The sequence below is a fragment of the Homo sapiens genome, chromosome X (genome assembly GCF_000001405.40).
Source record: "Homo sapiens chromosome X, GRCh38.p14 Primary Assembly".
NCBI lineage: Eukaryota > Metazoa > Chordata > Mammalia > Primates > Hominidae > Homo > Homo sapiens.
The window spans coordinates 22,110,868-22,137,488 of NC_000023.11; the positions used below are offsets into that span (position 1 = coordinate 22,110,868).

Here is a 26,621-nt window from a genome sequence, read left to right on the forward strand (position 1 = left end):
AGCCCTGGCTAGGATGCCATCCTGTCACAGGGTGCAGTAGCTCACCATGCTCACTCACACTGGGAATGTGTAGACACGCCGATTAACCTAGCAGGCACATCTTTGGGATGTGGGAGGAAACCACAGCACCCAGAGAAAACCTGTGCAGACTTGAGGAGAATGTGCAAACTCTACACAGACAGTGACCCTGGCCCAGAATTGGTTTTTTCCTTATCAACTGTATAACAAAAGGATGTTGAATGAAATGATGTTATTCGAGGATCTGCTGTAATTTGAAGGTACTCACAATTTCCAGACACGAAAGGCTGTGTAACAGTGGACTTTATACCCTGAGAGTGAAAGTAAAATGTTCACTCTGAGGGCTGGAGCTGGAATCTTTCCTTCATCTATCTCTGTTAGGTGGTGAAAAGCAAGCCAATTTTGGTTGTGCTTATTGACATTGTATCATCTTATGTCATTTCTCAAGTGAAAGTTCTGCATTTTTGTATGAGTAAGAGGTCCCTCGATGGAGCTTTGCCAACTGTTTCTCTCAAGATGTTCTGCAGAGCATCAGATATTGACCTAAAATACAATAAATGGGCATCTCTCTCTGTTAACAGGACCATTGCCAACTATTTGGTGTGGAGAATGGTTTATTCCAGAATTCCAAACCTTAGCAGGCGCTTTCAGTATAGATGGCTGGAATTCTCAAGGGTAAGTTTAAGAAGATTGCAGTGTTACATCGCTGGATAACTTTACATGCTGGAATAGTCCATATATTAACTGATCCAGTAAAAATCATCTTTAGGGATTAGACAGGGGGAGTTTGTAGCCCAAGCTCTATTGTTTTTGTGTGTGTGTGTGTGCCTTATTTATTTTTATTTAGGTATAAATTACATATGGTAAGGTACACTCAAGTTTTACTTTGATGGGTTATATAAAGATATTTAGAGAAATACTTGAGGCCACACATTGTTTTCAAACTTCCCCGTCTTATTAGTGTATTCCCATTTTCCCCCAGAGTTTTTAACTGGGTCACTGTAATTATAGTTTTAACATTTCTTTGTGATATATTTGTAACTATCTTTTATTCTCAGTATTCTGAATATTTAAAATGTGCATGATAGAGATATTGGATGGTAGAACTTCATTTTCAATTTGGAAATGGAATTTTGTCTTAAACTTTGCCTATACCTTCCATCTTTGAATCTATCCTCTGCTAGGTCCAAGAGGCTCCAATTTAGTTTTCTTGCTCAACTGTCTGAGATGGTTTTCCTCCACCTGCTCACCTGGCTCTTTATTTATTTATTTTTATTAGAGATGGGGTCTTGCCATGTTGCCCAGGCTTGTCTTGAACTCCAGAGCTCAAGTGATCCTCTCACCTCAGCTTCCCAAAGTGCTGGGATTAAAGGCACGAGCCACTGTGCCGGGCCTCACCTGGCTCTTTAACCTTTGCTTCTCTCCCACCCTTGCTCGTCTCCCAGTTTGTACCCATGTTACTCTCACCTTTGTTTTTGAGGCTTATGTCTGACTAATTCTCCTACCACTAGAGGCCGTAAGGATTTTGTATCTTTGAAACAGTTTTTATTTTTCTATCAATTTAAAGTTAAGTGAATGGTGAATCTTATAAGCTATGATTTCATTCAAGAGGCATTTTAGTTATTAGAGGAACTAATAAGTATAGAAATTCTTAGTGGGCCATTACTCTGGAAGAGTAGTGCAATTATTTTGGATATGCTTTGACCCTATAAAGTCACTAGCATATAAAGTTACTTTAGGGCTGGGTGCAGTGGCTCACACCTGTAATCCCAGCACTTTGGGAGGCCAAGGCAGGCAAATTGAGGTCAGGAGTTTGAGACCAGCCTGGCCAACGTGGTGAAACCTCGTCTCTACAAAAAATACAAAAATTAGCCGGGCATGGTGTCACGCACCTGTGGTCCCAGCTACTCGGGGGGCTGAGGCAGGAGAATTGCTTGAATCCGGGAGGCGGAGGCTACAGTGAACTGAGATGATGGCACCAATGCACTCCAGCCTGGGCAACAGAGCAAGACTCCGTCTCAAAAAAAAGAAAAAAAGTCTTTTTTACAGAGAACAGCATAAAACAACTATATATATATTTAGGTCATATTGATGGGTTAAGATACAAAACAAGTAGGTTTTGTGTGTGTGTGTGTGTGTGTGTGTGTGTGTGTGTGTGTGTGTGTGTGTTTGTGTGTATTTTTAACTGCTACGAATCACATAAAAGATGATGCCCAGCTGCTTTCCACCCCTACTGTGAAGAGAATGAGAGAGGTGTAAGAAGCACTGTGTGAACATTTAAGGTTAGGTATGAGGGGATGTTTCTTGAGCACGAAGTGCTAAATATAATATTGAATTGCCGAAGAAGGTTGTAGGATCTCTTTCTCTAGAGGTTTTAAAAATAGATTCATCGCTTACCTCTGAGAGAGGTTACCAGAAATCAGAGGAAGAATAGATGAAATTAAGCCTTAATCCCATTCCTCAAAACAACCTGGGTCTAACATTGTGCAAAGGACACTTCTGACCACCATTCTCAGGGCCTCCCTTCCTCCCTGCCTGCACCCCCAGCTTCCAAGGGCAACTTACACTATATTTATTTCTCTGCTTTTATTCCCAAGAGTAAACCTCTGACCCAGGTCCTGCTTGGGAAACTTCTTACTTGTTTGTAAATGTTTTCTTGCAATGGTATAATTGGGACAGATGGGCAAAGCATTTACATCTGTATTTTGCTTGTTTATCAGTGTGTTTTTTGCTGTGACACAATGTAAATATGCTCCCTGTGTTGTTCATGGTGGGCCATGTTCTTCTGGTCTGCCTTGTTGAGTGTGCTACTCGGAGCAAGGAAACCCTCACTGGGCAGGAACTTTGATCACCCACTGATTCTAGACCTTCTTAGTGGAACTTTAGTTCTCAGGAGATATTAAATATTATCTAGACACTTGGATAGCATCCTCTCATGTCCCTGCTGACTGCAGAAAAGTGATACCATTGTCCAGATTCTTTGTTTAATGGGGAAAATTGGGAAGAAAGGATACATATATTATTTTAACTGTTAAATCACTTTCTTTTCTTCTTCTTCTTTTTTTTTTTTTTTTTTTTTTTCCAGACAGAGTCTCACTCTATTGCCCAGGCTGGAGTGCAGTGGCCCAATCTCAGCTCACTGCAACCACCGCTTCCTGGGTTCACACAATTCTCCCACCTCAGCCTCCCAAGTAGCTGGGATTACAGGCATGCACCACCGTGCCCGGCTAATTTTTGTGTTTTTAGTAAGCACGGGGTTTCACCATGTTGGCCAGGCTGGTCTCGAGCTCCTGACCTCAGGTGATCTGCTCACCTGGGCTTCTTAAAGTGCTGGGATTACAGATGTGAGCCACTTTGACCGGCCTAAAACATTTTCATTTAGTTTGAAATATAATGGGGACAAGCAGAATTTTTTTCTTCAACTATTTTACCTTTGCCTCTACTATCTGATGCATATATATGGGTTAGGGTGTGCAGTGTTTTGTAGACTGTTTTCTTCAGGTTGTTTGAATTGTTTTCAGCCATGGGTTTTATCCAAATGAAGTTTAATCTGGATCAATTATCTCCCACAGGTAATCCAGGGGACCACAACTTTGCTGCCTCAATGGGACAAATGTGTAAACTTTATTGAAAGTGCCCTCCCTTATGTTGTTGGAAAGATGTTTGTAGATGTGTACTTCCAGGAAGATAAGAAGGAAATGGTAAGTGGTACTCCCCAGCTAGCAAAAAATAATGGCAATTTAGCCAGATCTGACAAGGGTATATTCAACAGGCTAATGTCAGCCTTCCAGGTGGTAGTGGCCTGTGGGTATTGTCTTCAGATTCTTTCAACTTCTAAGTGAAATAGGAAGAAAGGTCATCAAACGAGAGTGAGGATGAGTTAGCAGGTATTGAAGGTTAGAGGAGAGAGAAGGTGTGTAGTTTTCCAGGGGAGTGGGAGAGTGAATAAACTGAGGGAATGTAGTATAGCTGCTTGAGGGCAGGCATGTCCAGATGTAGGTGAGGTTTGAGGTATTGAATTTAAAGAGGGACTCATCACTGTGGCAACGTGTTCTTCTCCATCTGTTTCAACTGCATTGGAGAAAAGGGTGTATTTTTTTTTCTTTCAGCTTTATTGAGATGCATTTGACTAATAACAATTGTATATATTCGAAGTATACGGCCGGGCGCAGTGGCTCACACCTGTAATCCTAGTACTTTGAGAGGCTAAGCCGGGCAGATCACTTGAGGTCAGGAGTTTGAGGCCAGCCTGGCCAACATGGTAAAACCCCATCTCTACTAAAAAAAATACAAAATTTATCTGGGCGTGGTGGCAGGCACCTGTAATCCCAGCTATTTGGGAGGCTGAGGCAGGAGAATTGCTTGAACCCCGGAGGCGGAGGTTGCAGTGAGCCGAGATCGCGCCACTGCCCTTCAGCCAAGGCGACAGAGCGAGACTCTGTCTCAAAACAAACACAAAGTATACAAGATGATGATTTGACATACATTGTGAAATGGTTGCCACAATCAAATGAACACATCTGTTGTCACACTTATTTACCATTGTGTGTGTGGTGGTGGGGGATGAGGACACTTAAGATTTACTGTCTTAGCAAATTCAAGTATACAATACATTATTAGTAACTATAGTCACCATGCCATATTTTAGATCCCCATAACTTATTCATCTTAGAACTAGAAGTTTGTACCCTTTGATCAATATCTCCCCATTTCCCTGCCCCCAGCCCCTGGCAACTACTGTTCTACTCTCTGCTTCTATATTTTAACTTTTATAAAGATTCTACATATAAGTGAGATCATATAATATTTGTCTTTCTGTGCCTGGCTTATTTCACTTAGCATAATGTCCTCTGGCTTTATCTATGCTGTTGCAAAAGGCAGGATTTTCTTCATTTCTTCATTTTTATGGCCAAATATTCCATTGTGTGGTACACACATGCACACATCGCAGTTTCCTTATGTATTTATCCATTGAAGGGTATTTAGGTTTATTCCATATCTTGGCTATTATGAATAATGCTGCAATGAACATGAAGGTGCAGATCTTTCTTCCATATACTGATTTTACTTACTTTGGATATATACCCAGTAGTGGGATGGCTGGATTGAATGGTAGTCCTATTTTTATTTTTTTGAAGATTTTCCATGCTATTTTCCATAATGGCTGTACCAGTTTACATTCTTACCAACAGTATATGAGCGTTTCCTTTTTTTCCAGGAATATTTTGCCAACACTTACCTCTTAAATTTTTGATCATAGCCATCCTAACAGGTAGTGAAGTGCTATTTCATTATGGTTTGATTTGCATTTCCCTGATGATTAGTGATGAAAACCTTTTCATAAACCTCCTGTTTATGTGTCGTCTTTGGAAAAATGTCTATTCAGATCTTTTGCCTATTTTTTAATCAGATTATTCGTTTTTTCACTATTGAGAGGGTGTATTTTGAATTAGAAACATGGATTTGGCCAAGTTTTTTGTCTGCATTTTATTTTTGATGAATTATATTTTACAAATGTCATGAAGTAAAAGATCCAGGCATGATTAATAATAATCCGTGTAGTCAATAAGATACAAATATATGAGCAGCTTGGATGCAGGTGGTCAATAAACACTGAATTAAAGGGCAAAGACATTGTAATGTCATGATTGTTCAAATGATTGGTATCACGTAGTGATACATAATAATACCAAATGGTTGGTATTATGTATCAGTACATAGTCATTATTGATACATAATACATGATTATGTATTATGCACTGAAGTTTGCTTTGCAATACCATATCTAAGTACATTTGTGGCAGGCCAGGTCTCACTAACACAGGCCTCCATCACAACTGTCCCAGCACGTACTGAGTAGCTAGGTTAAACATTAAAAGCTGATTGAACCACTGCCCATATACAAAGCCTGGAATGTAACAAAGAGCCCACCAAGAGTTTTGCCTAGGCTTTTCCTGGATCTTGAAGCATGACAAGATAATGAATGAATTCTTAACAGGACCCTTTTAGGATTAAACAAGTTTTATTGGGGGTCTGAAGAAACTCCACAGGCCTCCACAAACAAGTTTACTGGGGTCTAAAGGAACTCCCCAAACCTTTATGATTTAGCAGGAGACAAGATAAGGGTAATTACCTCAGTACCTAGACCCATTTAGATTAAGTAAACTTACTGAGGCTCCAGAAGAAGGTCTTCAAGACTCACACCTAGTTATAGATTAAAAGAAGTTAATCATTTATGTCTTTCGACGATTGCACACTTTCACGTAGACATATAGCTTAGAAGGTATATGAGCTCTAGAAAACTTTGTAACTTTGAGTTGGTCTGGTGATAATTTCCAGGCTTTCTCCCTGTAACCAGTGGCAGAAAATAAAACTCTGTTCTTCCCCAGTTCATTTGCATCTCGTTATTGGGCCGTGAGAAATAGCAGCCTGACCCTCAGTTTGGTCTGGGAACAAATTGACCTATGTTAACTTGTTTTTACTGTCTAACTATGAGACTTTATGTTTGAACCTGAAAGTTCCCTTGCAAATAATTCCACTGAGGAATTAATGGCTTATTTCAAAATACTCAGTATTCTCATTGCGTGTTTTCTTTTGCTCTTTGGTCAGAGTAAATAGATTGAGATCTTATCAGATAATCACAGTAGTAATATTATAATCTCTGGGAAGGCTATAAAAACAATTAAAGGATAATGAAAGATTTAAAAAAATTATAGCAGGTTTTTTGGCAGTAGAAGAATTTTAACTAATATGAAAAGTATGTGGATTAAACTTGTTTTTCTCAGTTTTGGTGTGAAAGTCCCTTTTCCTTGTGTCAGGGTATGACATTCTAAAATAAAGTTAATTTTGGCATCTTCCCCCTTATTTTGATGTACGTGGGGGTAGTTTGGTAGTTAGGCAGATACTCATCTCTTTAACGTAAAATTGTTTGCCTCCCTTGTGCTGAAGCTGTTTGCCTCAGGGAATACTTAGGTTGGAAACTTATAAGAGAAATATCTGGCCTTTTATAGCCTTTTTTTTTACAGGGCTCCCATCCAAGAACCACCTGGAACCACTGATTTACTTGAAAAACATTCAGTATTATTAGCTACAGTCTAAAGAAAAAGAAAAACAGAAAGATCCCCAAAGGGGCAAATTCCAGAGACCCTAACTCAGATGGAAGGCTGCCATTGTTTATTTACCAAAAAAGTTTGTTAAGCAAATGAATACAGTCAGAAGCTTAAACTTCAGGTATGTCTCAAATTTACATGTGTACATAAATCACGTGAGCATCTGCTTGTTAAAAATGCAGATTCTCATTGCATTTTAACAAGGTTTTTTTTTTTTAAGTTGTGTTTGGGGTAGGACCCAAGAATTTGCCTAACAAGGTTCCAGGTGCGACTGCTGCTGCTGGTCGTGGACCACACTTTGCGCAGCAAGGTCTTCTCATGATTCATTTGTTTGTAAACAGCACCAAAAAAAAAAAAAAAAAAAAAAAAAAGCCTCGGTGACTCACAAGAGCAGGCCAGGCCAGTTGACATGAATAGCAGTACTTTATTTACCAAAACCGGTTACATTAGTGCAAGTAACTGCTTTAATTTTCAGATCATTGAAAATTTCTGTGATTCAGATTGGTTTAAATGGACTGTGAAAAACCCTGCGTTAGGACCTCCAGGCTTTATCTTTTGAAAACTGATACCTAGGTTTTACTAAGAGACTCCCGCCCCACTTCTCCTCCGTGTCTGTTTTGAGAACCTCTTGATGACAGAGTTGGCCCAACTGCCTGTGGTTGGTACCCTCTCTTCTAAAGAGTGAGTGGGAGAGAGCAGTTCACATTGAGGTTTCCTACCTATCAGTGTTCTCCTCCTTTTCACTGGGGAAAACACATAATTCTATATTACTGTTTCACTAAGACTTCCTACATCCAACTGTGCATTTGGACACACCGATACACCAACGTTCTCATACTCATTCACACACACAACCATGGGAATTTAGCAAATTGAATTAGAAATGAGAAGAATAGCATGTAGAAAAGGAGAGTCCTTCAACAGAAAGCCACCAAAAGAGGTCATATAGTACAATCCCTTGCCTCCCAGTTAGCAGGACAGAGCCTTAACTCGTGAGATTGGCTGCAAGTGTTGCTTTGTCTTTGCAGTCCAAAGTAGCACTACCCAATTGAACTGGAATATGAGCCACATATTTTTTTTGAGACAGGGTCTCACTCTGTTGCCCAGGCTGGAGTGCAGTGGCGTGATCTCGGCTCACTGCCACCTCCGCCTCCCTGTGTTGGGATTACAGGCATGAGCCACTACCCCTGGCCTCCATTGACTTTTATATTAACATTTTCTCCCTCCTTACCTCCCTTTCTTCCCCCATTCCCCAGAACTAAAAATCATAACTTTGTCTATCAGAGGACTTCTTTAATTTTTTATCTTATTTAGATGAAGATTATTTATAATTTTAAAACATTCCATTAGCTAAGCATTTAATATTACTTTTGTGGAAAGTTACATGAAAGTGGGACTCCCCTAGAGAATTGATGATATATCATCACTGTAAATAGAGATGATGCTCTCGTTCCACTGTGCCAAGCCCTGATCCATATGCTCATGACCTAAATGGCAGGAGAGAGGATTAGTTGTGTTCAGGAAGGATGTCTAGAGTTATCACTTGCTAATTTTCCCCTTTATTTATTTTTATTTTTTAATACTCTTGTCTTTTTCTTTTTCTTTTTTTTTTTTTTGAGACAGAGTCTTGCTCCATCACCCAGGCTGAAGTGCACTGGCATGATCTTGGCTCATTGCAACCTCTGCCTCCTGGGTTCAAGCCATTCTTGTGCCTCAGCCTCATGAGTAGCTGGGATTACAGGTGTGCACCACCAGGCCCAGCTAATTTTTGTATTTTTTTTGGGTAGAGATGTGGTTTCCTCATGTTGGCCAAGCTGGTCTTGAACTCCTGACTTTAAGTGATCTCCCTGCCTCAGCCTCCCAAGGTGCTGGGATTATAGACGTGAGCCACCACGCCTGGCCTTGTTTGATTATTATTATTATTGCTTATATCTGTAATGTATAAGTAAGTGCCCCAGGTAGATACTCATGTCCATGGAGGGCAGGTGAAGGTTCCAACGAAGGCCAGGGAATGAAGGGATTGTCACCATGGGCCTAGTTGTGACTGTGATGGTCAGGACATATTGGTTTTAAAATGTGGTGATGATAATAACAGTAGCAGTTAGCTTTCACTGAGGTTTAACTAGCTGTCTGGTATTCTTTTAAGTGCTTTCAGTGTGTGAACTCACTTATCCTCACAATGACCCTGTTACTGCTGTTAGTGCCCTCATTTTCCAGATGAGGAAACAGGCTCAGAGAGTTGAAGTAAATTCTCTGGAGTCATATAGCTTGAAAATGGCTTAGGTAGGGTTCAAGCCCAGACAATCTACATGGAAACCAGTGTTCCATTCCCTTGCTTATCTCTGAAGGCACTTGAATCTTTGCCAGTTTTACGAATATGAGGAGACCAGAACCTTCTTAGTGGCTTATCTTATAATTACCCTTGTTAGCAAATTATTCTAATATTAAGATCCTAAAAGGGCATACATTTCATATTTTTTAACATTTCAGAGGTAGGAAACAGTTGGAATAGGTTTGGCTTCCAGTATTTCAAAATTTTAAATATAAATATAGTGGAAACCTAATTCATATCCAACCAGTTGACATCACATTTTTGTATTCATATAATTCTCAGGAGAAAGACGGAAATGATAAGAAGCAAGCTACTATTGATTTAATCTAAGAATAACCTTGCAGGTATATCTTTGGCTCAGTCTACACACTGAGCTCAATTTCTCGTATTTTGTACATACGTCATTCTAAGGAGTGATCCCTGATGTTTGCAGTGGTAACCCAAAGGCTCTGTAAGATTTATTATCAAAGTTTAAAAAAAAATGTTTACCATTCTCTACTAAGGCGGAAATGTGAATATATACATCAAAGAAATTTTTTTTCTATTGTGTTGATGGGAAAAAAGGCCTTGTTGCTGTAACTCTAGTTTCTAGAAAATTCAGTAAAGCTGAAGTTCCCATGTGAACATTTTGGCTGGGCTAAGTTCTTCTGTATAAACCATGTCTTGGTTTGTTTCATTGTAGACACTATGTCCCCAAACTGCTTATCTTTATTCATATATCTCATCTCTGCCAGTAGGTATTTTTTGCTGCTCCCTCAAATTTTCTGCATTTTTCTTATAGAGTAAACCCTGCTAAAGCAAATAATTATTTTGACACTTGTTAAAATAGTAATGAAGACTATTCAGGACTATTGCAAGAGGTGTCAAGTCTATTGCAACAGGGGAGAAAGATTAGGCCCAACTCTAAATACAGCAAAGATAGCTGGAGATTTATAGCCAGTGAGGAGAATGAGGGGGTCAGTGGATGGAAAATTATGAAGAGGAGACATCACGAGCAGGGAAATTCTTGTTAAACCAACTTGACAGGATTCTTGTGGAAGGCAGGCCAAGGTGATCAGGATGGGGATTCTTTCTAAAGTGACTTAGCAGGATTCTTGCTACAACTGGACTAGACAGGCTTGTCGAGGACAGGATGGGGGTGGGAGGCTGGGAGGAGGGTAAGGGCAAGACGTACTTGAGAAGAGGGCTCAGAGGAGCCTGACTAAACTTTGGTCAAGGAGAGAGTCTTTGTCAGCTCTCAGATCAAAGCTAAAGTCACTGATCTCCTGTCATATATTAAAACATTCTATATGCAGAAGGTTAATCTAGTTAAAGCAGAGCAAATCTATTACACTTCAGATTCAGATTTTATTAAGTGAAGAACTAAAACTTGACTCCCTATGTAGAACAATTCACTAATTTCTCCTGCACTCTAGCAGCTATTCTATTTCTCTTTAAAGACATTGTTCATGTCCCCAAGTAATGCCATGGATGCCCTAAAATATCTTCCATTTTTTCTGAGCTGCTCTCTGCCTGAGCAATTCCAGTAGTAATTCTTATCCTAAGAAAAGAATTCTCCTCCCACCCCATACTGCTACATCTGGTGTTGAAGACTTAAATACCCACGTGGGTCCAATTGCAGTGGCGGAGTTTGAACTTGCAACCTCAATACACTAGAAGTTCACCTCATTAGTGAGCTAAGATAATTGAATTGATGTACTGCCATTAATATTCTTTAAGTTCTCCAATTCCCTCGCTCACTGTTTCTCTCAGTGGTTGAGTAAATGAGATGTAACTATAACGTTGATGGCAGAAGTCACATGAAACTCAGTGTCATGCATTATAGCATTGCCCTTATACTGAGGAGTTTTTCGTTCCTTGCAAATTCAGCTGCTCACAAAGGTTGTTCTCAGTAAAGCCACTGTACAGATAAAGACAATGGTCCCTTCATCACAAATTGTGAAAGAAAGGATATTCTCTTTGGCTACTAAATGCCCGTTTCTGTTTGTCTAGTAAGTGGTGTTGGTTATTATTATCAAGATCACTTTCCAGAGAAACTTTGCTGAAGACCTGTCCAAATTAAGGCAAACCATGATGATTTGGTTTTTTAAGGGCTTTTTAATATATTTATAAAATATTGACCTAATATAGAAATTACATCTGATTTTCTGCAAAGTTGCATTGATAGCTCATAGCCCAGCTCTGCTCTTACCAACATGGGCAAATCAGTTAACTTCTTTGAGCTTGTTTTCCTGTTATAAATGATGCAAGAGTTTCTGTTGCTTTGGTAATGCTGTGTAACAATCAATCACAAAGCCTCACTGGCATTTGACAATAAGCAGTTACTGCTGATGCATCTGGAGTCAGTGGTGGGCCCCCATGCAGCTCTGTTGATTTTGGCCAGGCTGGCTTGAATTTCTGGGGGTTGGCTGATCAAGGTTGGCTTTGGCAGAGGTGATTGGAATGACTCGGCTCTGCTTCATGTGTCCTGCTTCCTTCAGCCGGCTAGCCTGTGCATGTTCTCATGGTGATGGCAGAAGTTCAAGCAAGCAAGTAGAAACATGTGAGGTCTCCTGAGACCTAGGCTCAGGACAGGCATAATGTAATATCTGCATTTTGTTGGCCAAAGCAAGTCACAAGGCCGGTCCAGATTTACAGACTAGGGAGATAGGGTCTGCATTTTTTTTTTTTTTTTTTTTTTTGAGACAAGGTCTGGCTCTGTCCCCCAGGCTGGAGTGCAGTGGTGCGATCTCGGCTCACTGCAGCCTCTGCCTCCCAGGCTCAAGCCATCTTCCCACTTTAGCCTGCGAGTAGCTGGGACTACAGGTGTGCGCCATGATGCCCGGCTAATTTTTGTATTTTTTGTAGAGATGGGGCTTTGGCGTGTTGTCCAGGCTGGTCTTGGACTCGTGAGCTTAAGCGATCTGCCCGCCTTGGCTTCCCAAAGTGTTAGGATTACAGGTGTGAGCCACCTGTAACTCTGCATTTTTAATGAGAGGATCTGCAAAGTCACACAGTAAGGGGTGTGGATAAATGAAGGAGTATGGCATTAAAGCTGTCAGTGCTGTGTATCACAAATAGGGATAAAAGTATACCTCCTTCTTTCATTTGAGGTGAGAGTTAAATGATATAATCTATGTAGAAGGCCTAGCATAATACCTGGTACACAAAAAGTGCTCAGTGAATGTCATCTACTCTTATTGCTAATATTGCCATGCCTAATGTTAATAATTAAGATAGAATTTATAATATCAACTTCCTGGCACAGGCTGTGGCAACTTCTGCATTTAGATTGCCTCTTTTTAATTTATCATAGAGTGAGGGAGGTGCCTGGGGGGTTTTGCTGTCGCTACTCCTCCATACATGCCTAGTATAGTAGCTTTCATTGGAATAAAGATCCTTTTCATGTTAGTGCCCTGGCCACATTCCAGAACCCACCCTATCATTTAACGCCAAGTCTGGCTCATACAAGAGTCTCATGAAATTACTCATGAAATTACTCGAGGAGCCAAATATAATTTCTTTTTCTTTTTTTTTTTTTTTTGAGACCAAGTCTCGCCCTGTTGCCCAGGCTGGAGTGCAGTGGTGCGATCTTGGCTCACTGCAAGCTCTGCCTCCCGGGTTCACGCCATTTTCCCGCCTCAGCCTCCCAAGTAGCTGGGACCACAGGTGCATGCCACCTCGCCTGGCTAATTTTTTGTATTTTTAGTAGAGATGGGGTTTCACTGTGTTAGCCAGGATGGTCTCGATCTCCTGACCTCGTGATCTGCCCTCCTCAGCGTCCCAAAGTGCTGGGATTACAGGCATGAGCCACCATGCCCGGCCATGTAATTTCTAGAATAGGTCCAGATTTCATAACCCTCTGCAGGCTAAATCTTGTTACAACAAATATCATCCGGTCCCAATCGTGACAGCTCATTTATGCAATCTTCGGTCAAGTAACATCCAGCAAAACAAGTAATTTAGATAGCTCATTGGGAATTCTTTTGAAATAAGTATGAACACTTACTCTTGTCCTTGTCTTTGAGTGTGCTGCCACGACGATGACACATTGGCTCACCTTTCTTGTTTGTTTTCTCCATTTCTGGCTAGCATTGGGCAGTGTTGCCTTTGCCACATATTATCAGCCACAGTCTTGTCAAGCAGATCTGGTCAGACCTATGGAATGTGAAGACCCTTTATTAGAAATTCATTTACCTAAAGAAAACATTTATGCCTTCCAACAGATCTGAATGTTGGAAGTGACCAGACATAGTTACTTGCTGGGGAGAATTTACCCACAGCCAAAGGCTAGACTATTTGAGACTGATTGACTTGTAAATATTATTCTGGTTTCTGATCCATCCTCTCTTAAAGTTGGAAAGTGGAAAACAGGAAAAGATGAGTTATAAAATTAGAACACAGCCTATATGTTCATATCCAGCAAATAGAAATATAAATATCTACCTGAGTCTTATGAATATATACCTTTAGATAAAAGGACATGAGAAACTCCTCCTGTACCACCAGAATAACCCACTTTATAGCACCAAATAATTTGATTTTTTCTTCTTTTGCCAAAATGTTTAATAGCTATGTAACACTGCTAATCCTGACAAACTGATATGATTTATTCACTCACTTGGCTGCCAGAAACCTCAGCATTTTCTAACTATCCTTAGTTCTTCTGGTTTAACCACATGTCCCACTTCAATATAGGTCACTTTTTACTTATTTTGTTGCCATTATTTTTTATCAGGAGCCAATCCAAGGGCATTTTTATAAATAGTTATAGTATAAGTAATTAATTAATGAATATTTCATATTTATTGGTGCATTCATTTATTTAATGTCTGTGTTTCTAGTAAAGTGACAATTGCCAGAAAGAAAATTTTAAGAGTCCCCCTGAGATTAAAGCCTATTTCTTCAGGGTTATCCACATAAATTATTAACAACGATTTCCATTTTTCACATTCCACCAATCAGTGGTTACAACTCAAGAAAACTTGCCCTGTTCTAGAGCAATGAGAAGACTGGAAACATTTTAATCTCATGGTTTTTTTCCAGATATTATAACTTCTAAGTATGTTAAAGAGGAAAGCCTACTCAACATTATGCCTTTTCGTTAAGAATTTTATTAACATTAAATTAGTTTAAGGTTAATGCCCATAATCAACCTTACTGATTTTTTTTCTTTTTCCTTTCTTTTCTTTTTCAGAACTCCTAGCCTATAATTATTCCTACTAGATATGTACTATATTTTTAAACCATTCCAAGCTGTTTGTCATGTACCATGTTGACATCACCTATCTTAGAATGGACTAGGCTAACTTACAGAGTCACTTGATTTCCACTAAAGTTTGTGTTTGGTAGTAGGCTACAGTCATTCTGGAGACATTTGCTGTGAACCTTGTCCCCTAATATAACGATGGATTTTCTATTCACTGATAAGTTCTACTCATGGATTCAGGCTTTGAATTACTAAATCAGAGTAGGTCTCTCTTTTCAAAAATGACTTCACCTAAAAAGGGTACCATGCATTTTTTTTTTCCCTTTTTCAGCTTTCATGTTGTTAAATCTCATGATCATATCTGCACAGCACCATATTTTCTATGAGTGAGTTTGTTAATATTTTCTCTTTATACTATTGGAATAACTGTTATCTGTTAGCATATATGAAAGATATTTGATTCAATTTCAACTCTGCTAGGTGCCAATTGAAGGTTTCAAAAAGCATAAATTGATCAGCTTGTATTTACTGAGCATCTGCTATATTTTAGTATTAGGTATGAATGTGAGATATGGACTCGTGAAAAATCATATCACATGAGATATGAAATCATAAAACTAACAAAATTTTAAATTAGCAGAATACTTTTTTGTTTGCTTACATATTCATGATCTCATTTGATCTAAATCATGGTTCCTGTTCTCAAAGCTTATGGGTCTTGTTAGGGAGACCAAATAAATATAAATGAAAAGACAACAATTAAACACACACCTATGTATTATTCTGATTTTAAGCCTCACAGGAACTCAGAGAGGGAATTGAAAGTGTGGGTTTAAGTGTTTGGGATTCATGGGTATGAGATAGGATTTGAGTTGCCTTGTGGGATTTCTTTATTATCAGGGACAAAGCTTTGAAGAAAACTACAACCGATCATGGGGCAAACTAATCCCTCCTTAAAGCAATGTTGGCATATGTCCCTTCAAATGTATTAATAGAACCATCATGACTCATTTATGCAAAGTACAGAATTCTTATGTCTATGTGATGGGAGGAAGGGTAAGGAGAGGGCAAGAGGAGCAGGAGAGATAATTTATAATTTGCTAAGATAGGAGCATCTCATTAAAGTAAAGCCCTGGATTGAAGGGTAACAAGTGCCTATGCATATGTGACTCACCAATGTCTGGTGTCTGATGTAGAACTCTATGGGCAAAATCCTGGGGTGCAAAGAATGAAAAAGGAAGAACCTATTTTTAGATAACACTGGTTGAGGAAGAGAACTAAGAACTGCCCATAGATCAACCAAATGAACTGTATTTTTATAGTGTGGATCCATAAAATCTGAAATAGTTGTTTTTTTTTTTTTTTTTTTTTTTTTGAGACAGAGTCTTGCTCTGTCACCCAGGCTCGAGTGCAGTGGGGTGATCTCAGCTCACTGCACCCTCCACCTCCCGGGTTCAAGCGATTCTTGTGCCTCAGCCTCTCGAGTAGCTGAGATTACAGTTGCCCGCCACCATGCCTGGCTAATTTTTGTATTTTTAGTAGAGACAGGGTTTCACCATGTTGGCCAGGCTGGTCTTGAGCTCCTGACCTCAGGTGATTCGCCCACCTCGGCCTCCCAAAGTGCTGGGATTACAGGTGGGAGCCATTGCGCCCTGCCCCTGAAATAAATAGATATTTAACAAAACGTTGCTTTGCCTAGAGGGCTCTTACCCTGAATATGGCAGATTTTACCAAAATAACACTTGAGTTAATTTTTATATGTTATATTTTGACCTTTGACTGGCTCTAAATAAATATTTCCTATGGATAACTTCACCTTAAGACTTCCACTTTAAGGGATTTCTATTAATGTTATATGCTGCCTGGTTGAGGTGTGAGGTCCAAGTTTGGTGAAGAAATACTATTTCTCTATTTTTTTCTTATTTTAAAATTACAGCAGGTTTTTGACTTGACTGAAGGCAATGTTATTATGTGATGCTGTAGAGTAGTCTAAAGATAAAAATCAGAAGTGTTCAGTGATTTATCTTCCTAGTTCCAGCATGCTAAAATAATTATTTCTCTTATTTGCATTGACATGTCAACCAATGAAATTAATCACCTTCAAAGATTTTCCTTGTTCTTGAAGTCTGCTGGGGTAGTTCAACACCATTTCACAGAAAATGTTATACAATAAATCTGTAAAGTCTGCCAAAAAAAAAAAAATTGAGAACCTGAGGTGGGGGATGGTGTGGGGAGTGGAGGTGCCAGAGAAGACAAGGGCAAAGAGCAGCTGAGGCTCATGGGAAAAAAAAAGTGATTTACCCGCGTTTTGACAAATGTGAGAGGGCCACAAAGAGTGAGTTACCGAAGTGTGGATTCAGGGAAGACAGAGGTGGTGGGGGCAGGGGAGGAGGTGGAAGAAAAGGCAGAGGAGGGAGGAACTGGCATGTGAATAAACTATTTGTCATTTTTCACTCTGGCAGTGGGCTGAAATGTTTTTGCCTCTTTTTATTTTCATTTAGAATGCCAATCAATGGGTTACAGACAAAGAGCTTTGAAAACCTTTTCTTATTTATTTATTTAGAGACGGAATCTTGCTCTGTCGCCCAGGCTGGAGTGCTGTGGCGCGATCTTGGCTCACTGCAACCTCCGCCTCGCGGGTTCAAGCAATTATCCTGTCTCAGCCTCCCAAGTTGCTGAGGTTACAGGCATGTGCCACCACACCTGGCTAATTTCTTTTTTTGTATCTAGTAGAGACGGGGTTTCACCATGTTGGTCAGGCTGGTCTTGAACTCCAGACCTCAGGTGATCCAACCGCCTCAGCCTCCCAAAGTGCTGGGATTACAGGCGTGAGCCACTGCACCCGCCCTGAAAACCTTTTCAAAATGCATTAAATTTTAATGAATTTGATAGCCATTTTAATGCCTGGGAGATGCTGGACAGGGAGGGTCCTATGAAACCAAGCTGCTTAGAGAGAAGTATCTGGAAACACTCAGCCCCATTTTAATAATAGCCACATACTCCATAAAAATACCTCAAAGAGAACAGGAGCAAAATGACCTTAAGATTCATCATAGGAATCCAAAAATTCCAAAATTTGCTGAAGATCTTTTTAGCTTGGAGAGTGCTTATTTTTTTGATAATTTATTTTAAAACCTAATAAAATGTTTTGCTTTTGTACACCTTGTCCCAAATAAATATTTTCTTTGGACATATTCAACTTTTTATTATTTATTGGGTGCTTTCTATTATTGCTACATCCTGGCCAGGGTATTGAGAGGGAACCTTTTATTGTCCTCTTTGTCCCTATCTGTAAATATAGTAATCCCCCCTTATCTGAGACAGATACTTTCCAAGACCCCCCCCAACCCCCGCCCAGTGGATGAGACTGGGGATAGTACTAAACTCTATATATACTATGTTTTTCCTATGCATATATAACTATCATAAGGTTTATTTTATAAAGTAGGCACAGTAAGAGATTAACACCAATAACTAATAATAAAATAGAACAGTTATAATGATATACTGTAATAAAAGTTATGTGAATGTGGTCTCTCTTTCTCTCAAAGTATCTTATGGTATTGAACTCATGCATGTACTTCCTATGATCTGTCTGATAACCAAGATAGCTAGCAAGTGACTATTGGGTGCGTATATACAGGGTGGAGATGCTGGACAAACGAAGGGTGATTCACATCCCGGGCCAGACAGGCTGGGATGGCATGAAACTTCATCACACTAATCAGAATGGTGTGCAATTTAAAATTTGTGAATTGTTTATTTCTGGAATTTTCCATTTAATATTTTCAGAACACAGTTGCCCATAGGTAACTGAAACTATGGAAAGCAAAATCGTGAATAAGGGGGTACTACTGTACTTCTCTTCCTAGTAATATGTTCATGCTGCCAGGATGCACATAGCCATGTGCGAAGAAATATAATTTTTTAGATAAACCTCCCTTTAAGCAGAAGGTCTCAATCCTATTTCATGGAGAAAAGACCCACGTTTATACTAGGACTCTCTCAACCTTCTACATCTAATCTTTAGATTCTTCTGCATGCCTGCCTATCATTTTAATCTTCTCTCCTCTCATAAGTCTGTCTCATATCTAAGGTGAATCCTTCCATATAGTCTCTGGATCCCATCACCTCCTTTGCCCTCTGAGACACCACTCATGGCTTGCTTTGTCCCATATTTTCAGTCTCTTCCTTTTCGCTGGATCCTTTCTATTGGTATTTAAACATAGTCAAATCTCTCAGCTTTTCAACAACAACAAAAACAGTAGGAACAGCATTAGCAAGCATATGCATGAAACCCAAACTCCAAACCCTCAGACCCTTCCCTTAACCCTACCTCTACTTCTCTCCTATCTTTGCTTTTTCTCCTTCATAGACAAACTCAATTAATTTGTCCAGACTTGCTGTCTTCGCTTCCCACACACTCTTCATCCCACTAGTTTGGCTTCTGTCCCCATCCCTCTTTTTCTTCCAATTTTCTCAGTCTTATTGAATGACGGTGTTTGCCAATATCTTTCTGAAGCCTAGGAATGAATCTGACTCTCTCTACGTTCCTCACTTTCCCACATAAAATGAGTCACCTGTTTCCATTGGTTTGGTCTCTAAATCTCTCCTTTGAGTCCACCCACTTCTTTCCCTCCCCATTGCCCCTCCCTAATTTGGGAAGATATAATTTCTTTTTCTCTGTGAACGTGATGGGCCAGCCAATGCATGTTGCTACATGATGAGTCCCTAAAGACTTAGGGCCAGGTGTGGTGGCTCACGCCTGTAATCCCAGCACTTTGGGAGACTGAGGCGGGTGGATCACCTGAGCTCGGAGGTTCGAGACTAGCCTGGGCAATATGGTGAAAGCCCGTCTCTACTAAAAATACACAAAAATTAGCTGGGCATGGTGGTGCATGTCTGTGATCCCAGCTACTTAGGAGGCTGAGGCAGAAGAATCGCTTGAACCTGGGAGGTGGAGGTTACAGTGAGCAGTGAGCCAAGATCATGCCACTGCACTCCAGCCTGGGCGACACAGTCAGACTCATTCTCAAAAAAAAAAAAAAAAAAAAAAAACTTAGGCATGCTGATAGGCAAAAGATCTAGTCCCCGGAGATTTCCTTGTCATTTTAACATCCTCCTGATGTGGGTTTTCTGTTTGAAATTGTGACTTATGCATCTCTCAGTTGATTCCCTTTCACTCCCTGGCATTTCTCTCTGATTTTGGGAGGGATCCTCTGTTGTTACTAGAGGCTCTGAGCTCTCCACTGTTATTTTAGCTCTTTGGTCAGGTCCTGGCTCTGGTCCTCATTAGCTGTGTCAGCTTGAGCAGATCATAGACTCCTTGACCCTTAATTTCCTTATCTGTCAAATAAATGGTTTCCCCTGGTCTAGTGGGTCTCAGCCCTGACTGCACATTAGAATTACCTGGGGAACTTTTTAAACCCTCCCAATGCCCAGGCTGGACCTCAGAACAATGATACTAGCATCCCGATGCCCACGACGCAGGATTTTTTATTTTATTTAGAAATTTTTTGTCAGTATTATTTTTTTTTTCTTTTGAGACTGAGTCTCGCTCTGTCACCCAGACTGGAGTGCAGTGGTGTAATCTCAGCTCACTGTGACCTCTGCCTCCCGAGTTCCAGTGATTCTCCTGCCTCAGCCTCCTGAGTAGCTGGGATTACAGGCGCCTGCTACTACACCCAGCTAATTTTTTGTATTTTTAGTAGAGACGGGGTTTCACCATGTTGGCCAGGCTGGTCTCGAACTCCTGACCTCAAGTAATCTGCCCGCCTCAGCCTCCCAAAGTGCTGGGATTACAGGTATGAGCCCCTGCGGCCAGCTCTCAGTATTTTTTAAAGTTCCTCCAAAGATTCTAATGGGCAGACAAAGTTAAGAACCACCGACTTAATGATTTTTAAAGGACCTTTTGCTCTTTGCTCTTCTAGCAGTTTGTGTTTTATCCCAAGTTGAAGTTTCTCTTCTTTTAATGTTTTTACCAAGTTGGGAAGAAATAGCTGTGAAGCTCCCCCGACCCCCTTCCATCTGCTGTTTGTTCTTATTTACATATGATGGAACCCAGCCCACTGATTTATAGCTCTGGTTCCCTCACAACTGTTATTGAACTGAAAACATAGCTGAAAACTTATTAAACAGAAAAAACTTATTTTGAGCTTCATGCTGACAATTTATTATAGAACCAAGGAAACATTTCAACGTCTTTCCTTCTAGAGTTAATGTTAACAATTGATTTACAACCCCATGCTCTCAAATGAAAAAGTTCATTCTGGGGCCAAACCCAGTGTTTTTTTTTTCTTGGGTGTCCCATTGAGAAAGCCAAAGCATCTCTGCAGGAGAACTGGATTTCGAGGGGTTTGTATCCATGAACAGGCAGGGCCTCCTCACATTGCTGCCGGTGGCCTCTAATGTGACGTGTCAGTAGCCCCTTTCCTCCAGTCCTCTCTTCTGGTCCACAGACACCGGCAGCAAAGCCAGGCACGTACATCCTCACTATGGGTGTGGCCTCACTGTTCAAATGCTTTGCGATAGGTCTTTCAGAAGTCCACCTTTCGGTAGCAGCCCCCTTTAGACCTACCATTTTATTTTATTATTATTTTTTTAGAGACAAGGTCTCACTCTGTCACCCAGGCTGAAGTATAGTGGTACAGTCATAGCTTACTGCAGCCTCAAACTCCTGAGCTCAAGTGATCTTCCTGCCTCAGCCTCCTGAGTACCTAGGACTACAGGTGCAGGCGCCACCATGCCTGGCCTTTAAAAAATAATTTTGTTTTTATAGAGATGAGGTCCTCTTGTGTTGCCCAGGCTGGTCTCGAACTCCTGGCCTCAAGCAATCCTCCTGCTTCGGCCTTCCAAAGTCCTGAGATTATAGGGGTGAGCCACTGCCCCTGGCCTATACCTACCCTTTTAAATTGGAAATAACAAGACTTTTCTGAGCTGCCAAGGAGTAGAGAGGAGAGTAGGAAGATGATATAGAAGAGCCGAACATTTAGTTTAACCCACGGAACTAAATCTGGAAAGAACTGGGGTCCTGACATAAGTGTGATTCATATTGGTGAAGTGTCCTTTGGGGTGCTAAGTCTCCCTGCCCGTTTCTCTGTGTTAACAGTTATCTCTTTCAACTGTTCACTTTCTTCTGCAATACCTATCTGAAATGCACAGCCCATGCCTTTCCTGTCTCTCTCAGTCCTTTATTAAATGATTAAAATTAGTTGGCACCTTGATAAGGATGAACTAGTTTAGTAGCTACAGACAGGTAAGTTATTGGTTTGTCATAATCTATGGTGAATTCCTATCCCTGTATACCCGTATAATTCATTTTATAGCTGGGCCACCACATTATTCTCATGGAAAGAAATGGTTTTTTTTTTTTAATGTTTTTTATTTTTTGGAGACAGGGTCTTGCTTTGTTGCCCAGGCTGGAGTACAGTGGTGCAGTCATGGCTCACTGCAACCTCCACCTCTTGGGCTCAAGCAATCCTCTCACTTCAGCCTCCTGAGTAGCTGGGACTAAGGCATTTGCCTCTACACCAAGCTAATTTTTATATTTTTTGTAGAGATGGGGTTTTGCCATGTTGCCCATGTTGGTCTTGAACTCCTGGGCTCAAGGGATCTGCTCATCTCAGCCTCCCAAAGTCCTGGGATTACAGGCATGAGCCACCATGCCCAGCTAATTTTTATATTTTTGGTAGAGATGGGGTTTCACCATGTTGTCCGCGCTGGTCTCAAACTCCTGGGCTCAAGTGATCCACCTGCCTTGGCCTCCCAAATTGTTGGGATTACAGGCATGAGCCACCATGCTGGGCCTGGTTAGTTATCTTTTAGTGGTGGAAAAAAGGGAATTTTCCTGGAAAAAGAAGTGTTGCCAGAGCATGGAGTCAAGCTGAAAGAACCCCTTACTTACCATGTTGAGTAAAGAGTCATTTCTCATGCAAGCCAATTTTGTTCCAGAAAACCTCGACTGAAGCTTCTTGGCTTTGACGTTCCCTCTTTGGGTATTTTCTTGTAGATGGAGGAATTGGTTGAGGGCGTTCGCTGGGCCTTTATTGACATGCTAGAGAAAGAAAATGAGTGGATGGATGCAGGAACGAAAAGGAAAGCCAAAGAAAAGGTAAGGATTCCTTTTGATGAAAAAAAAATAAGACTTCTGGTTTAATGGATGTTCATGCTTGACATTGACTGTGTAGTTGGTTTTTATATTGACTGAACTGTTGACTCTGAATGACCCCAGAGTTAGCTGTCTGCTTTTGGATGAATACATAGATTTTTGTTTCACCAGGAGGTAAGAGAAAATAATACCTGAATTTTTCGAACTGCATTTTCAAATACCTTGTAATTCGGCCTTTCCTTTCTCCTAATTGCTGTCTGTAAGAGGCACATGGCTTGCTGCCTGGTGAATTGTGTCATAAACCATCACTGGATATGGCAGAATGCAGAGCAGTGGGGAGTCACAGGGAGCAGCTGGAACAAGAGCCCCTAAGACACCAAAACGAAGAAAACCCATATTGGCCACATGTCCTTCTGCTCTGTGCATGATGCATGCAAATGTCCTGGGGCAAATCCTTTCCTGTAACCAAGCATATCTCCTTCCCGACCCATCATTTGGCACAAATGACCCAAATAGTATACTGATAAACTGCAGACCAGTGTTCTACCATTGCTTAGGACTACAAACGTATTTCCTAATAGAAGTGGACACTTGCTGGGCCTTGTAAAATTTTCTGATACTATGCGACACGATAAGGGAACAAAGGAGAAAAGTATTGACAGCCATGCTGTTTAAAAGTAGAAAACGGGCTGGGTGCAGTGGCTCACGCCTGTAATACCAGGACTTTGGGAGGCTGAGGCAGGTGGATCACTTGAGGTCAGGAGTTTGAGATCAGCCTGGCCAACATGGCAAAACCCCATCTCTGCTAAAAATACAAAAAAATTAGTCGGGTGTGGTGGCATGCATCTGTAGTCCCAGCTACTCGGGAGGCTGAGGCAGGAGAATCGCTTGAGCCTGGGAGGCGGAGGTTGCAGTGAGTTGAGATCGTGCCACTGCACTCCAGCCTGGGTGACAGAGCGAGACTCCATCTCTGAATAAATGAATGAATGAATGGGATCCATTTTGAATTCCAGAGATTCTGATAGAGCTGGAATTCAAGTGGGTGGAGCATACCTGCTAGACTCTTGATGGATGCTTCTCTGCAGCTGAGCATTTCTTGTATCTAGAGGTATTTTTGAAAGCTTCCTGAGTATAACAATCACCTGGGTTGCCTGGACGCTCTGGCTTTCTGGGCCCCTTCCCAGCAAGGCCTGGGTTAATGGATCATGGATGCAGGCTGAACAGCTGTCACTTTAGCCAGTCTCCGGGTGATTGTTATCACTAGGCAGGTCTGGGGAAACACTGCCTGGAGTCATACTGAGTCATACTGAGCACAAATATTTTTGCCTCAGCGTTCTGGGAATGCTTAACCTTGTTGAAATGAGAACACGTAGAGTTTTAGCAAGGATATTTTCTAGTGCTTTAAACTCATGGTACTGGAGATGGATAAACATTGCCATAGATACTTTTGTCAGTAGATGTGAAAAGGCGTTTGTTCAGTGTTTATAATGAAGGAAGAACTGGGATGGTGGGTGGCAAGGCAGCGTTGGAGGAAGACAAAGAGTAGGTTTGATTTTTTGTTTCCCCTTCAAAAATCTGTCAAAGCTGTCCTCAGTCACATAAGGCACAGGCTGATGAAGGCAAGAGCACATGGGCTGTGATGGGAAACTCTCCAGATGGTAGACAACTTTCAACACCAACATATTGTTGTTTTATGAAGGCTTCATTTATTTGCTGAGCTAGCTTGTGGTATGTGGAACAGGATGTGTCTTGCCCTGGGCAGTTGAGCGCTTAGTGTATTAAGGGCTCTTTATCCTCGCCTGACCCCACATGAACCGAAGAGGTGCTTGCATGAATTAGTACAGGACCACCAGGGTGGAGGGTGGGGTGGAGTGTGTGTGTATGTATAGGTGTTGGGGGTAATGTGTTATGAATAGCTGGATGCCAGGGGAATGTTCTGGGAAGTGCAGTCAGTTCTTTGAGCAGTGTGGATTGCAGTTGCCTCAGGGAGCTCTTCTGAGTGGCATAAGGGAGTGGGTGCCTCACAGTTGGCCCTTCTCGGCAAGTGGCCCATGGGTCCTTCTTGAAGCAGGACTATTCTCAGTTCTTCTAATATTAGACATGTTCCTGTTTGCCTCCCGAGTTGCTCTCCAGTCTTCTATTTTATTTCAATGAGAGCTGTCAGTTTTTCTTCTAAAAGCGTTCTTTGAACACTCTGCTTTCTTTGAGCTGAGTTCAACCTGCCAGGAACTCTGCTAGTTCCACGACAGGTACAAATATCAAAGGCAAATTGGATCTCACAAAGTTCCCCGACTGTATCTTGCATTTCAGAGTTCAGAGAAGTTTCTTTAACGAAATGCAAGAAAGATGGATGTTGTTGAAGCAATTTCAGCAGTTCTTTGAAGTGGGTCCTTTCCTGGACCCCAGAAGATGTAAATTTTTTTTTTTTTTTTCCCCTCAAAATTAAATGAACATGCAGTTCTTAAAATGACCTCTGGGTGGAGCTCGTGGTACTCACAAAGAACACTAGCGGCGTTGAAAGCTTTTATGCAGCTTTCTACTCCGGCGTTGTTTTTGAAAAAAAAAAAATTTCTTGCCCTTTTTCTCTGCTGTCCTCGATTTGATTGCCTTTTAATAGTCAACAAGAAAGGAGAGACTTTGCCTAATAATTCCTTGAATCTTAGATGGAAATCTCCCACTATCTTAGGGTTTTGTCTTTCTGATACTGAGTAGCCCCTGCATTAAGAAAGGATTTGCCTGCATTTGAAGTGGAGGTGAATAACTCGCCTGCTCTTCCTGGTATGACTTGGCACTGTTCTTTGGGCATGTGTTGTATGCAGTGTATCACCCAGGCGGAAGATTTCTCATCAATAATAGTGCCCACACTGGGCCAATGCTGAGTCACTTGGCAACCCATTGGGAAAGCTGGAAAAATGTTCTGATTTGTGAAAGGGAGAAGCTTTTCTTTCCCTCACCATGAAGCTCTGGACCGCAGCTAATTACAGAGCCTCCTAAGAAGTGTTAACCTCAGCATTCCATAGTGACCGACCTCCTGAACCGGGCAGGTACAGAAAGCTGCAGTGTTCTGAGGCCTAATACCTTGGCTTTTGTAGCAATGACCTCGTCTCAAAATGGAAGTGTGTGGATGTGGCTTTGTTGTACTCTTTGCTAGGGGTGTTCACTGTAAAAGATAAATGAGGATGCCTCTGCTCCCGTGAAGGGTAAATTTGTTTTCTCTGTCTCCCTGCCTTTTCCTGCTCATCTCTTAAGAGGTCACGAGTAGTTTTTGTATTGTGAAACTGATGGTGTAGGTTTCAAGTGGAAATTTAGTATCGTGAAATAAGCACCGCTTTTTGTTTAGGATTCTCTGTTCCCTGCAAGCATGTGCTCTTATTGTAAATAAGCAGCAAAGGACAGGGCATCTGTTATTTTTCTGGTGACCACAGCTGTTGAATGAGTGTCAGGTGATAAAATAATGATTTTAGGGGTGTCTTCTGGAGGATTTGCCCTTGCCAGAGTAGAAGAGGAGGATCTCAAGGTCGCTACATCAGGATTCTGACTGAGACCTGGCAGGAGAGCGTCAGATCAGGAGGAGCAACTTCCTGAGCTTGGCTTATCTCCAGCTGGATTTGACTATATAGCCAAAAAGCTGGATCCCTTCGGAATTATTTGTTTGTTTGTGCTCTTTGCCCCTGGGACCTAAGTTTGTCAGGTCACATCCAAAGAAAAATAGCAGGATGGGACTCACAGGGAGGTGGCATCCTAATGATGCTCTGAGGGAGTGGCCTTAACCTTGGCCACAGCAGGTGCAGAGAAGTCGGCTGAATGGTCCTAAATTTATTGGCATGTGACTCTCACACACAGGCTTTGAGTGAGGTGGTGAGAGTT

At 41.1% G+C, this 26,621-nt stretch overlaps 1 protein-coding gene across 7 annotated transcripts in view; it reads left to right on the plus strand.

Moving 5' to 3' along the window:
* The window catches only part of PHEX (phosphate regulating endopeptidase X-linked), a 218,986-nt gene that overhangs the window by 78,543 nt on the left and 113,822 nt on the right, over nucleotides 1-26,621 (plus strand). For all 7 annotated transcript variants that reach the window (NM_000444.6, NM_001282754.2, XM_047442159.1 and 4 more), the window contains 3 exons: nucleotides 600-693; nucleotides 3,591-3,719; nucleotides 22,656-22,757. In NM_000444.6, coding sequence (NP_000435.3) covers nucleotides 600-693; nucleotides 3,591-3,719; nucleotides 22,656-22,757 — 325 coding nt within the window. The remainder of the gene's footprint in view (nucleotides 1-599; nucleotides 694-3,590; nucleotides 3,720-22,655; nucleotides 22,758-26,621) is intronic.